Raw genomic sequence first — 13,946 nt, 5'->3', positions numbered from 1 at the left:
CCGCCCATCTCGGCAGCACATTTACACGACATCTTCTAGCACTTTGCTATTCCTAGTGTGGTCTGCAGACCAGCAGCAACAGCATCGCCTGGGAGCTCGTTAAAAATGCAGTCTCTCAGGTTTCCATGGACCTTCTGAAGCCAGATCTGCATTTCAAAACAATCCCTGAGGGATCTGCACGCACGTTGGTCTGAGAAGCACTGGGCTGGACGCTGGTTCTCAAACTTCTCTGCTCATTGGAATCTCCAGGAAAGTTTTTAAAAATACTGTTGCCAGGATCCTATCCTGAGAGTTTCTAATTAAATCGGTCTGGGGTGTGTCCTAGACATCCGATTTTTAAAGCCTCCCTGGTGATTCTAATGTTCAATGCAAGTAGAATTCTAACTGGAGAGGAAACTTACTATTAATTAAAAATCATAAGCCCAAGGAAACAGAAATCCGCTCAATTAAACTAAGGGTATTAAGCATCTACTCTGCGCAAGGCCTTCTAGTAGATGCTTCAACTTGTGACAGGTGAGGGGCTCCTGGTCTGGGCAAGTATTTACCTTAATTCCTGCACTGCGACACTTGCTCACAGCATCAGGCACTGCAGCTCGGGGAGGGTCAATCATGGATATGAGGCCCACAAAACAAAGGTTGTCCATGGGGAAATTTATTTCATCTGTATTAAATGGGAATCCCTTGGAGAAGCTGCTAGGCAGATTCAAGAAGCAGAAGCCTGGAGAGAGACAGAGGGAGGGACCAGTAGTCATCCAGCACTCTACATTCCTATCTGCTTACCCCAACATCCTTGATTTCTCACCCCAGGGATAATAACCATTTTGATGCCATTCTTTTAAAAACTTCTCCCAAAGCTCCTCACCTAGCACACGTTCCCCCAGACCTCCCAGTTCTAAGTAGGCATTTTGGAAGGCTTCCTTCATTTCATCGTTCATTGAGTACTCCTGCCCATTCAGAAGAAAGGTAGAACAAAACTCCAAGATCCTCTCCGGAGCACCCTTCATCATCAGTACGTGGGTCTGGGAGCTGTCCTCCCGAAGGTGGATGGACATCTAGGGAGAGCAAAGGGAGCACTGATGGGACAGGAGGAGAGACCAAGGATCAGGGGCAAAAAGAAGGGGAAGGTTTCAAAGGTAAAAAAATGTGTTTCATACCCCCATTTCTTTTGTTCCCTCCCCTCCCCAGTCACATCTCGCCCCAGGTTGAACCCAGCCCCTCCTCCTTTTTCCAGAAAACTGCAGCCTGGTATTATTTGCACAGGAATCTCCATTATCTTCTCAGCCTGAAGCTCCCTGGGGGCAGAACCAGGCACTCTCACTTTTCCCCTGCATCCTTGCCAACTGGATGGCGAGAGAGCAGAAATAGTGGGGCTGGCAAAGAAAGAAAAGAGAGTAGACAGGAAAGAAAAAGAGTCGGAAGGCCAGGCGTAGCGGCTCATGCCTGTAATCCCAGCACTTTGGGAGGCCGAGGCGGGTGGATTGCTTGAGGTCAGGAGTTCAAGACTAGCCTGGCCAGCATGGCAAAACCCCGTCTCCTACTAAAAATACAAAAATTAGCTGGGCATGGTGGCATGTGCCCATAATCCCAGCCACTTGGGAGGCTAAGGCAGGAGAATCGCTGGAACCCTGGAAGCAGAGGTTGCAGTGAGCCAAGATTGCGCTATTGCACTCTAGCCTGGGTGACAGAGCCAGACGCCGTCTCAAAAAAAAAAAAAAAAAAAAAAGTCCAAAGACCTGTGTTCTGGGGCTAGCAAGAATGCATTATGACCTCAGGTCAGTCCATTTAACTTTGCAAAATCTTAGTTCCTTCGACAAAACATAAAAGCCTCTGCCTTGCCTCCTTCATGGGGTTTTTTGTTGTGTTTTGTTTTTGTTTTTGAAGATGGAGTCTCACTCTGTCGCCCAGGCTGGAGTGCAGTGGTGTGATCTCAGCTCACTGCAACCTCTGCCTCTGGGTTCAAGTGATTCTCCTGCTTCAGCCTCCCGAGTAGCTGGGATTACAGGCACCGCCACTATGCCGGGCTGATTTTTTGAATTTTTAGCAGAGACGGGGGTTTTACCATGCTGGTCAGGCTGGTCTTGAACTCCTGACCTCAGGTGATCTACCAACCTTGGCCTCGGAAACTGCTGGGATTACAGGCACCGCCACTATGCCTGGCTGATTTTTTGCATTTTTAGCAGAGATGGGGGTTTCACCATGTTGGTCAGCCTGGTCTTGAATTCCTGACCTCAGGTGATCTGCCCACCTTGGCCTCCCAAACTGCTGGGATTACAGGCATGAGCCACACACCTGGCCCTTCATTGGGTTTTTATAAGAGATAGTGTAGAAAATACTTTGAAAACTGTGAAGTACAATCCAAAAATAAGTTAGTCATTCTAGTCCCTGGGCCTCTGTCTCCTAAAAGCGTGAGAAGTCTCCTGAGAGGGGCTAGCTAGTGTGGTTGGGCATGGGAGTCCTTGTGGCTGTGGTGGGGGAGGGAAAGGGCACATTCATGAAATGAACCCGAGGGGACAACCCGCAGCAAGGAGAGAGAAATGTGGGTTTTGCATTTCCTCTTGATCTCTGATGTATGAAAAGGAGCTCTCCATGGGGTTCCTCTTGTGATGGACAGGAAATGCCCGCTAGGTCGCCTGTTGAGAACAAAATCGATGCATTGAAAGGAACAGCGGGAGTGCAGAGGAGGCCGGACTGTACTGCCCACAGGGTAAGCAGGGTGGGAAACCAGTGCACAAAACGTGGTTACAACTGTTCTGTTCGTTTGTTCAGTTACATTCAAAATATGCTTAAGCAATTAAGAGGAAGAACCGTAACTCACTTAAGCAGAAAGCTGGAAAAAGTTTAAAGAGCTCAGTTTTCTAAGTGCTCAGTAAAATGTGTTGAATAAGTGAAGGGCCCAGGAGGTGATGGCAAGACCTACTAGTAATCTCAGAGGTCACGGAAGAAAATCACATCTTGATAGAAAATTACATATAAAAGAGACGGAGGGAGAAGTCTGGAAATGCTGGAACAGAGCATCTTCTTCGTTTCATTTTTATCTCAGAGGGAGACAGACCAGGCTCTGCAAACCGCCAGCAGTCTGAGATGTCTCTTGCAAAGACTGGAGTCTCCACCTTTAGGGCAAGCTAAGGAAGGCAGCAAACTGAGGGCCTCCCAGAACAAGTGCCTGCCAGAGCTTGGCGGCCAGTGGGACAGCCTGTCACACTCGGTGAACCACTGAGGACAAGTCTGCCATTTGAGCCGCATGTTTGGTAGCTCGGAAGAGGCAGCAACATAGTCATCTGAGAGAAAGTCACTATTTGTTGGATGCCCCAACAAATGTTGTGAATATGTTTTGCTTTTATTTTGAATCACATGGACGGAGAGGTACCTAATTCTTTCCAGTTAAAGGCTATGCTGCCGTCAAAGGCCCTGCCAAGCCACAGAATTCCTGTCAGACTAGTGAGGCCACTAAACATCAGAAAAAAATGGGAATAAGTTTGCCATTTGGGCCTAAGAGACCTATTTTATTACATTGACTAACAACCAGTTGAGACAGAAAAGGATAGATCTATTTAACCCTTACTTGCTCAGTTTTCAGTGTAAAACGATGAGTAATTCAGTTAAAAAAAATTTATATAGAGGCCAGGCATGGTGGCTCACGCCTGTAATCCTAGCACTTTGGGAGGCTGAGGCGGGTGGATCACCTGAGGTCAGGAGTTCAAGACCAGCATAGCCAACATGGTAAAATCCCGTCTCTACTAAAAATACAAAAAATTAGCCGGGCGTGGTGGCACATGCCTGTAATCCCAGCTATTCTGGAGGCTGAGACAGGAGAATCCCTTGAACCCAGGAGGTGGAGGTTGCAGTGAGCCAAGATTGCGCCATTGCACTCCAGCCTGGGCAACAAGAGCAAAACTCCTTCTCAAAAAAAAAAAAAAAAAAAAAAGATACCAGCAGACTTGGGAGTCTCATTGTCATTTTCTCTGAGACATTTTACCCACACCTGAATGTCTGGCCTTTTCAGTAATGCAAGGAGTTGAAGAATCTACTTCCCTGAGCAAATCATGATTGCCCCGTGGAACTCAGCTTGAGCCTGGCAAAGCTCCAATTCTGATAATGTCACTGTTCCTGCATCCTACCATAACCTTCTCTTCAGTCTGCCCAGATTCTACTTTGGAGAGAAAGACTCTTTCCTGTCCCTTCATGGTCCCTCACTCAGCATTTCCCCTGCTCTTGTCCACTCCTCCCCGGAGAGTGGACCAAAATGTTCCTGGGAAATGAAAAACTTCACGAACACGAACACACGTAATTAGTTAAGGTTACATAGAAGTAGGGGAGGCCCTAATCTAATATGATTTGCATCCTTATAAGAAAAGAAGTTACAAGACACACAGGGGAGAGGGTCAGGCGCCAATGGAGGCAGAGACTCCTGATCGCCTACCCGCTGGCAGTCACTAGAACTGCAAGCCAAGTGTGGGGTGAAAGGAAATATTGATGGCTAATGAAATAAAGTGTCTGCAAATGCAACCTAATACTGCAGCGGCAAATCTCCTAGTAGACACAGAGGGGCCTCCTAACAGCTGCATGTGACTCTAACATGACTTTCACCAACCAGCTTCTGCTGTCTACAGACATTTCAGAGAGGATTTTATGACTCGCTTTTTCCCCAAGTGGCAGAGCTCAGATCTCTGCATAGGACTGACTGATGCCTCTCCCTTTATCACCTGTTTCGCCTCTCTTTACCTGTTTGTCACGTTCTCTTGATGTGAGTCTTCCGTTAATTGGGATGCAGGTTCTGCTGAGCTCCTCTGCTTCTCCGAGGTGAAGTTGAAGGCAGAGGCAAAGCTCCCCTTGTTCCAGTGATAAGCCCATCCCCCCACCACCATTCTCCTACCTTTGTGGGTTCTGTACCTGGTACTTGTTGGTAGAATTAAAGGGAATCTCTGCCACCTTGGGGTTTTTCTCTCTCATCTCCGCCACAGAGCTGTAAGACTGCTCGATGAACTTGAGGAGGGCTGACTCGGAAGCATCACCTGTTGTGGCCCTCTGCCAGGATGGGGTTTGTATAGTAAGCCCCAGGGGCATGCTACCTGGGCATGAGGCATACCTGTGGCAACATGGAGAGGGGACAAATGGGGAGGGCGGGTACCTGGGGGGAAATTACTGAGCTCCAGGAGAGGATTTTTTGGGAGAGGTCAGGTTACACCCTGGACACTGAGGTACCCTCTTCCCCTTGGGCCTGACACCTTAGCAATGGGCAGGATCTCCTGATTAGCCTTAAAGTCAGCCCGGTTGCAGAGGCCAGCGATTCGGGCCAGCATAAACCAGGTATCAGAGCTCTTGGTAAATGTTTTTCCTAGGGAGAAAGAAAAGAAGAATTGTGAGCAGGGAATGAGAATTTTAAGCAAGCGGTTATTCACATCCTCTTTGGCACCCAGATACTTCACAGGAGCAGCATTTCTTTTCCTTCACACCTCCCTCTTCTCCACTCCACTTTCAGGCTCCCTCCTGTCTGTCTGGACTCACCATTCTCTCTCAGCTCACTCATCACATCCCCCAAATCCCTCCACTCTTGTTCCACCAATACCACTAGTCACCAGTCTGTTCTTCAGTGGTGTCGGCCTCATACACGGTCATATCAAACCACATGTGGGCGACGGTCATGCGGTTCTGGGTGAGGGTGCCCGTCTTGTCTGAGCAGATGGTGGACGTGGAGCCCAGCGTCTCCACCGCCTCCAGGTTCTTCACCAGGCAGTTCTTCCGCGCCATGCGCTTGGCTGTGAGGGTCAGGCACACCTAAAGCCAAGAAGAGAGGAGAGAATACACATGGGAGATGGAATACTCACACCATTTTGCATTGTGGATATTTGATCATTTTTAATGCTATTTTGATTTTTTGTACTTACTTCCCTTTTGTTCCCACCTACTCTTTACACATTTCATTTCTGGCTGTGGTAAAGGAAATTAGGAAAGTGATTGTGGTTTGTGCTTTATGGTAAGAGTTTCAAAAAAGAGTGTATTTAAAAAAAATGTCTTTTTCTGTTTTTGTTTTTGAGACAGAGTCTCACTCTGTGTTACCCAGGCTGGAGTGCAGAGTATGATCTTGGCTAACTGCAACCTCCATCCCCCAGGTTAAAGCAATTCTTCTGCCTCAGGCTCCCGAGTAGCTCAGACTACAGGCATGCACCACCATGTTCAGCTAATTTTTGTATTTTTAGTAGAGACAGGGTTTCACCATGTTGGCCAGGCTGGTCTTGAACTCCTGGGCTCAAGTGATCTGCATGCCTTGGCCTCCCAAAGTGCTGGGATTATAGATGTGAGCCACCGTGCCTGGCCAAAAAAGAGTGTATTTCTTTACCAGGGTATCATAGACAGGGATCCTCTTTATTCCCCCCTGGAATATTCTGCTCCCTCAGGATCTTTGCATCTTTTCTATTCAGCAATCTCTTTTTCATTCAAGTTTAGGCCACACCTCTTTAAGTCCAATCTTTCCAGGGACCACATAGATAGCTAATCTTTTATGGTGGTATAAGATGCTAGGTGTGGAGGGGGTGTTGGACCAATAGTTCTTTTTTTTTCTCGAGACGGAGTCTCATTCTGTGGCGTGATCTCTGCTGACTGCAAACTCCACGTCCCAGGTTCAAGCCATTCTCCTGCCTCATCTTCCCAAGTAGCTGGGACTACAGGCGCCAGCCACCATGCCTGTCTAATTTTTTTTTTGTATTTTTAGTAGAGACGGGGTTTCACCGTGTTAGCCAGAACGGTCTCGATCTCCTGACCTCGTGATCCGCCCACCTTGGCCTCCCAAAGTGCTGGGATTACAGGTGTGAGCCACCGCGCCCGGCAGACCAATAGTTTAAACAAAGAACGTGGAGGAGATAACAATAATATCACAGCATTGAAAAGGACTTGAAAAATCATTTAAACCAAAAGACTTTTGTTGATTGTGAAGGCAATGTAAGTCAAGTGTGAAGCAAGATTGTTTTAAAAGCTAATGAATTCTTAGGCTGTGGTTATCTAAGTATGGGCTTCTAATAACAGGATTAGGGGTTATAATGTATTTACATAATATCACTAGTCCCTACATTTTTGTGCTAGTCCAAACACACCCCAAGTATTATTGTCATTTCTCTTTTAAGAATATTGACAAACTAGAGCATACCCTCAACAGGTGATCATCAAGACAGGTGGCCTACAGACCATGTCATAGGAAGAATGGCTAAGGGAAGAGGGATTATTTCACCTGCTACCACCAGAGTTTGAGGGGACATAATGGCTACCATCAAAAATCTAAAGGGCTAGTCTGTAGAAGAGAAAGAATTGACTTATTTTGTGTTTCTTCAGCTGGGAAACTTAGGACAAACAGGGATTTATAGTTCTGCTTAACACAGTGAAATGTAAATAGAGCAAGACAACAATGAAACGAATTGAGACAGAAAGGGGTGGGCTTCCCAATTAATAGAAATAATAATCATCTCCCATGGGTTTTATAGAGGATATTCAGCACTGGTTGAAAGGTTGAATTTATATGATCTTTGAAGTCCTTTCCTGTAGGATTCTATAATTCCAAATTAATCTTCCTCCATAAACTGATGAATAAATTGAGGTCTGGAGATGTTAAGTGATTTAGCCAATACTAGAACTCACTCTCAGTGACTGATAATCCAATGCACTTTCCATTGAAACTTGCTTCCTCTCTCATTGAGGAAAGAGAAGACACCGAAATATATGGGCAGAAGGAGTCAGTGTAATATTGAGAGCTAAATTATTCCTGATACCTATTTACATATCAGGAAGACCCTGCACTTGAAAGGTTCAACAACAAAAGAGACGCTAGTGATCCCTTTTCCCTGGGGTGGTTTGTCTGCCCTGAGGCCATTTTCCACCCTGTCTACTCACAGTGACTGTGGCCAACAGCCCCTCAGGCACATTGGCCACAATGATGCCAATGAGAAAAATGATAGCCTCCAGCCAACCATAGCCCAAGAGAAGTGAGAGCGCAAAAAAAGTGACACCAAGGAAGACGGCCACCACAGTGATCAGATGGATGAAGTGTTCGATCTCAGCAGCGATAGGTGTCTGGCCAACCGCCAGGCCTGACGTCAGGGAGGCAATTCTGCCCATCACTGTGGAGTCTCCCGTAGCAATCACAATACCCCGGGCGGTTCCTGTGGATGAAGCAGGAGAGGGCAATGTGATGTTGTGATATGATAAGAAGTATAGATATTGGTCTCTGCCCCCACTTCCTGACATAGAGCTTCTAAAAACCCTTAAAGATAGGGGTGCTAGGAGAATCTTTTGTTCTAATATTTGGTCTTTGACCCAGTTCTGGACACAGAGCTCCTGAGACCCTTGTAATTTCTTGAGTGATAGGAGTGTCTGACACAGAACTCTTAAATGCCTTGGAGTTTCCTGGGTGATAGGAGTATCTTTGTTCTAATGAGGTGACTCTTGGTGGGTTCCTGGATAGCCACAGGATGGGGCTGGTGGCCAGGGCAGATAACCATGTGATTAGAGAGTTGGAACTTGCAGTTCATGGACTGACCTCTTTGGAAGGGAGGAGGGATGAAGGTTGAGTTGATCACCAATGGCTAATAATGTAACCGATTATACCTATGTAATGAAATCTCCATTAAAAACCTCAAAGGACTGGGTTTGGAAAGTGTCTATGTGTATGACCATGTGGAGGGTTACTGGAGGGCACCCTGGACAGGAGAGGGCACAGACGCTCCTCCATGCTCCTTCCCACGTGCCTTGTCCTGTGCGTCTCTTCCATATGACTGCTCATCTGTATCCTTGTAATATCCTTTATAATAATGGGTAAACCTAAGTAAGGTGTTTCCCTGAGTTCTGTGAGCCATCCTAGCAAATTAATCAAACCTGAGGAGGGAGTCGTGGGAACCCCAATTTATAGCCAGGCCATAACCTAGGACTTGTGACTGGGGTCTAGAGTTAGGGACTGTCTTGTGGGGCTGAGCCCTAACCTGTGGGATCTGATGCTATCTCCAGGTGGATTGTGTCAGAGTTGAATTGAATTATAGGACACCCAATCATTGTCCTTTGGAGAACTGGTTGTTGGTGGGGAGAACTGTCTACACATGTTGGACACAGAAGTGTTCTGTGTTCAGCGTGAGTGTAGAGAAAAAAAAAAGCTGTTTCTTGTTTTTTCCATCAGAGATGGTCACCCAAGACATGCCGAGTCTGAATTGAGGAAGCTGTTTGGTTTGGTTCCCACAAAGAGCAAGCTGTCAATGGTCAAAAACAAACTGGAGACTCAAGGCCCTCTGAGAGGTCATTATGTTCTGCTCTCCTCATATTTAGTTTATACAAATAAAGGTCTTCTAGTCTGAAAAATCTCTGAAGAGGTCTCACAGTTCTCCTGAAATACCCAATTTTATTGCCTAATTTCCTTCACTGTCAAGAAGGCCTTTATTATACTTAATCTGAGTATCTTCTATTGCCTATATAGTTCTTATCTTGCCCTCAGCAGCTGAGGAGTTTCTAGATCCCAGGAATAGTGGTTACCCTTCTGGTAGAGCCCTATGTTCCAACATCCCCTTATCCCCTAACACAGTGGTTCTCAACTGGAGGCAATCCCTACCCACCAACCCCCTTCCCTGGGGACATTTGGCAATGCTTGGAGACATTTTTGGTGGTCACTACTGGGGTGGGAGAAGGCTCCTACTGGCATGCAGTGGGTAGAGGCCAGGATGCTGTTAAACATCCTGCCACGCACAAGACAGCTCTCCTGTCCCGCACAACAAAGAATTATCCAGCCCCAAATGTGAGTGGTTGAGAAATCCTGCTGTAACTTGCGCCCCCTCCCTGCTTTGCTGGCTGGAGCCAATCTGACCTCTGCTGGGTAGCACGGGCCATAACAGCTGGGCTTCTGTGCTTATGAGGTCCCTCTTTCCTCTCCACCAGCACTGCCCCAGTCAGAAGGGCAGCTTGGACATCATGTTTGGCTTTACACACACATGATGCAGGCCACTCACCTTGAAATGAGGGGCATGACAAAATTCTTTTCTTAAAGTAATTCTTCCTGCTTTACCATAATGACTGAAATTTCTACCATTGAAATCAGAGTCAGAATCACTTAGGCAACATATCACTGAAACTGCATTTATTTTAAAAGCAGAAAGACTCAGGGCCGGAAGTTCAGCTTTCTAAATTACTAGCTCTTTTCCTTGGGGCAAGTTACTTAAATGCTGAGAGTCAGGCTTCCTCATCTTCGAAATGGAATGAAAGCACTTACTAAACTGTGAGGACTGAATATTTTTAAGAGTCTAGAAGGTTAGGTACATCATAGGCACTTGAAAATTAGTTTCTTTCTCTTTCTTCTCATCATTTAGATGAACTTAGGGTTTCCAGTAGGACCAATATAGACTCATACTTGTGACTTAGTAGGAGCATCTCTAATCTGGGAGCTCCCATGAACATTGCTGCACGTGGTGGTCTCCGTTTTCTAAGGTTGCCTTTAGCTGTATGAGTCTGAGAGCAGGGTCCTACTCGAGGAGCAGACAGGTCAGGTCAGTGTTTATGTGGAGGAGGAATCCTGAAAAGATTCCCAGGCCGAGGCATTCTATAGATGGGCTTCAAACTGGTTGCCAAAGGCATATATTGGGTCCTATGGAATGAAGATGCTGAAATACTTGAGAGATGCTGAGGAGTTTCCTATTTTGGGCCGGGTGGAGGAGGGTGGGTAGTGTATGGTGTCACCTACATATATCTTGTGTCATGGTTTAGTCTAGTTCTTCTATTTTATTCCTTCTGCTATGGTTTCCTCACACTTGGAGAAACGGGATTTAATAATTAATCTCAGTGTGTCTAGAGATGGGGTTGGGTTGATGTCAACCTCAGGGAAGGCTGAGAAGGCCAAGCATCCAGCACCCCAGGCCAGACTGGCTTCTTCATACACCTTCCATGTATTGCCAGAGAAATAGCTTGGGCTCCCTTGAAGATGCATGAGAACCCAAAGAGAAGTCTGTGCCACAGCCATGTCAAGGTCTACGGTGATGAGACATGGGAGGCAAGGGTAAAGGTTAAAGTTATGCTACTAATTTGCAAATTGGTCTAAGGCAAAGGTTAAAAGTCTAGGGTAAAGGTTAAAGGGCAAATTGATCTAGGGTAAATGCTATCGGTCTGTGAATTGCTGAGAAATTCCTCAACTGAAAGTCCTTCCGCCCAGCTCCTTCTACCTAGCTCCACCTTCTTGGCCACATGTTGGGTTTTTTTAGCCTCCTACAAAACCATTTTCTATCTAAACAGACCCTTGCTTCCCAGTCGAAATGCCACCATCCACTTTCCTCCATACCCTTTATCTGAACATATACTTAGCTGATGAAAACCCTACTTTGTAAGGGTAAATTTGGGCAAATTTTTTCCTAAAATCTAATAGTAGACATCTAGTGTTTTTGGGGAAAGCTTGCTAACTTGCTTCTGTCCAATCAATTTTAAAACATTTTTAATATATGTATTTTATTTTCTAGTTGGATTCTTTCTCATAGTCTATTCTGTCTTAACATTACGCTTCTTCTTTAAGGTATTTTCAAATTAAATAGCAATCTTTCAGCACAGAGCAGGGTCTGTGGAAGGAGCACGAGATATGGAGACAGACCTACATTAGAATCCCTGACCCGCCTCCTTTCTATTGAGTTGTACTCTTGGATATGGTGCTTAATTTCTTTGAACCTTAGTCTGCTACATGTAAAATAGGGATAATATCTGGTATTGTGCGCATGTGGGAATTAGAGATAATATTTATAATATTTAACAAATACTATGCATTCAAATAAAAAATATTTCTAGGCTGGGTATGGTGGCTCACGTCTGTAATCCCAGCACTTTGGGAGGCCGAGGAGGGCAGATCACTTGAGGTCAGTAGTTCGAGACCAGCCTGGCCAACATGGTGAAAACCCATCTCTACTAAAAATACACAAAATAACTGGGCGTGGTGGTGGGCACCTGTAATCCCAGCTACTCGGGAGGCTGAGGCAGGATAATTGCTTGAACTTGGGAGGCAGAGGTTGCAGTGAGCTGAGATCACACCACTGCATTCCAGCCTGAGCAACAGAGAGAGACTCTGTTTCAAAAAAACACAAAACAAACAAAAGAACTATTTTTAGATAACCAAACATTTGTTCTTAAGCATGAATAATAGTTTTCAAGTGTGCTCCATGGAGTCTTCAGGCCTCCTTAAGGGGAAAGGGCAAAGGAGAGATTGACAGAATGATGTTCAGTCCCTTTTTATTACCACTTTGCCAGAACTGTCTCCCAGTTCAAGGATTCCTAGATTCTAGGAGCAAAGCCAAAGTTTAAGTGGTAAAGTCTAAGTGGCACCTCTGGTAATTCAAGTTTCCAATGCCAATATCTTCTCTTGGATAGGGGACTAGTTAGAAGTTAGGGCTTACCTTAAGAGAAGAATGACTTAGCAGGGCTGAACAATTTTCCTCCCCTCTGTGCCATTTTCAGCTTAAACAGCATAGTCCATTCACAAGCTAAAATAATAGCTAATAATTGTAGGTCACTTACAATGTATTAGGTCTTGTGCTGGGCATTTTACATATATTATCTCAATTCACACGAAAATCTACAGAGTAACGACTTTTACTGTCATCACTGTGCGAATGTGGAAATGATGACCTTGACCTTTCACCAGAGGTCATACAGCTCGTGATGGAGAAGCTCGACTTTTTACTGGCTCTTACCTACCTCGCTACCTTTAGAAGACAGTTATTAAAATCTTTATGTTTTGGTGCCTGCTTTTGAATCTATGCTACTTATGGTTCGATATTCACCTTCCACACAGTTGGTGGAAAAGAAGCAGATGTTTCGGGTCTCCAGAGGGTTCTCATGGGTGAAGTCAGGGGAGCGGCTCTGGGGTTCTGACTCCCCAGTCAAGGATGAGTTGTCCACCTGGGATGGGAGAGGGGACGCGTTGTAAGGTGAGCATAGGAAAAAAGGCAGATTTATTTACAAAAATAGTATGTCTTCATCTGGTCACCAACATCATCACTGACAGACTGAGAGAAACAAATTTACACATCTGTTGTCTCTAACATCAAATCTGCACTTGTAACTTCTCAAGATTCTGAGTAATAAGCTTATACTTTCTCTAACGGCCCAGGTGTCTACCCTGCCATGAGATCACGCTTGGGTCCCTCACATAGCTTTCGGCATCCCCTCACCTTACATCCTTGTGCAGAGATAAGCCGGAGGTCAGCAGGGACTCGGTCTCCACCCTTGATTTCCACCAGGTCTCCCAACACCACCTCTTGTACATTAATTTGCATCTTCTCTCCTCCTCGAATTACCAGAGCTTGCTATGAGAGGATAGTGCAGGATCATTTCCAAAACTTTTGGCTTTCCTCATCCCACTCTTAGCCTAAAACCTTCTGTTATTGGTCTCCCTCCTCCTTACTCCCCTTTCTTACTGTCACCCACCACATCATTCTTGAAGGTGTCTTTGGCAGATTGCAAATTCCCATGATGCTGTTTGCAGGGCCCTTTGCAATGTGACTTTGACGCTCTTCCCATTAAGAGGTGGAGTCTATCTCTCTACCCCTAAACCTGGGCTTGACCACGTGACTTGCTTTGGCCCATAGAATGAATGTGATGGAAAGAGGAGTTTAAAAAGTGCTTTCAGGCCGTGACTGGTGGCTCACACCTGTAATCCCAGCACACTGGGAGGCCGAGGTGGGAGGATTGCTTGAACCCAGGAGTTTAAGACCAGACTGGGCAACATAGGGAGACCCTGTCTCTACAAAAATTGAAAAAAAAATTAGCCAGGTGTGGTGGCATGCACCTGTAGTCCCAGCTGTTTGGGAGGCTAAAGTTGGAGGATCGCTTGAGCCCAGAAGGTTAAGGCTGCAGTGAGCCGTGATCACATCACTACGCTTCAGTCTGAGTGACAGAGTGAGACCCTGTCTCAAAAAATTAAAAAAAAAGTGCTTTCATGCTGGGGCTTG

The 13,946-nt window shown here is 45.8% G+C and overlaps 1 protein-coding gene across 2 annotated transcripts in view, besides 3 other annotated features; it reads right to left on the bottom strand.

Annotated features, from left to right (window-relative positions):
• The window catches only part of ATP1A4 (ATPase Na+/K+ transporting subunit alpha 4), a 35,378-nt gene that overhangs the window by 14,678 nt on the left and 6,754 nt on the right, over positions 1-13,946 (bottom strand). For both annotated transcript variants that reach the window (NM_144699.4, XM_011509582.2), the window contains 8 exons: positions 13,167-13,301; positions 12,777-12,894; positions 7,879-8,147; positions 5,577-5,775; positions 5,226-5,335; positions 4,891-5,025; positions 863-1,052; positions 546-718 (listed from right to left, as the gene is read on the bottom strand). In NM_144699.4, coding sequence (NP_653300.2) covers positions 546-718; positions 863-1,052; positions 4,891-5,025; positions 5,226-5,335; positions 5,577-5,775; positions 7,879-8,147; positions 12,777-12,894; positions 13,167-13,301 — 1,329 coding nt within the window. The remainder of the gene's footprint in view (positions 1-545; positions 719-862; positions 1,053-4,890; positions 5,026-5,225; positions 5,336-5,576; positions 5,776-7,878; positions 8,148-12,776; positions 12,895-13,166; positions 13,302-13,946) is intronic.
• Positions 2,242-3,236: an enhancer, noted in NCBI's record as "OCT4-NANOG-H3K27ac-H3K4me1 hESC enhancer chr1:160138857-160139851 (GRCh37/hg19 assembly coordinates)". NCBI's record gives its function as "activates a minimal SCP1, AML or CMV promoter by ChIP-STARR-seq in naive and primed H9 embryonic stem cells {active_cell/tissue: H9 hESC(naive and primed)}" and the evidence as "EXISTENCE:reporter gene assay evidence [ECO:0000049][PMID:30033119]".
• Positions 5,701-6,233: an enhancer, noted in NCBI's record as "H3K4me1 hESC enhancer chr1:160135860-160136392 (GRCh37/hg19 assembly coordinates)". NCBI's record gives its function as "activates a minimal SCP1, AML or CMV promoter by ChIP-STARR-seq in naive H9 embryonic stem cells {active_cell/tissue: H9 hESC(naive)}" and the evidence as "EXISTENCE:reporter gene assay evidence [ECO:0000049][PMID:30033119]".
• Positions 9,795-9,884: an enhancer, noted in NCBI's record as "active region_1914". NCBI's record gives its function as "activates an Ori minimal core promoter by ATAC-STARR-seq in GM12878 lymphoblastoid cells {active_cell/tissue: GM12878}" and the evidence as "EXISTENCE:reporter gene assay evidence [ECO:0000049][PMID:35858748]".

This window comes from Homo sapiens, chromosome 1, assembly GCF_000001405.40.
Source record: "Homo sapiens chromosome 1, GRCh38.p14 Primary Assembly".
Taxonomy (NCBI): Eukaryota; Metazoa; Chordata; class Mammalia; order Primates; family Hominidae; genus Homo; species Homo sapiens.
Note: the sequence above shows the minus strand (reverse complement) of the source record. Positions and strands in the feature narration are given on the sequence as shown.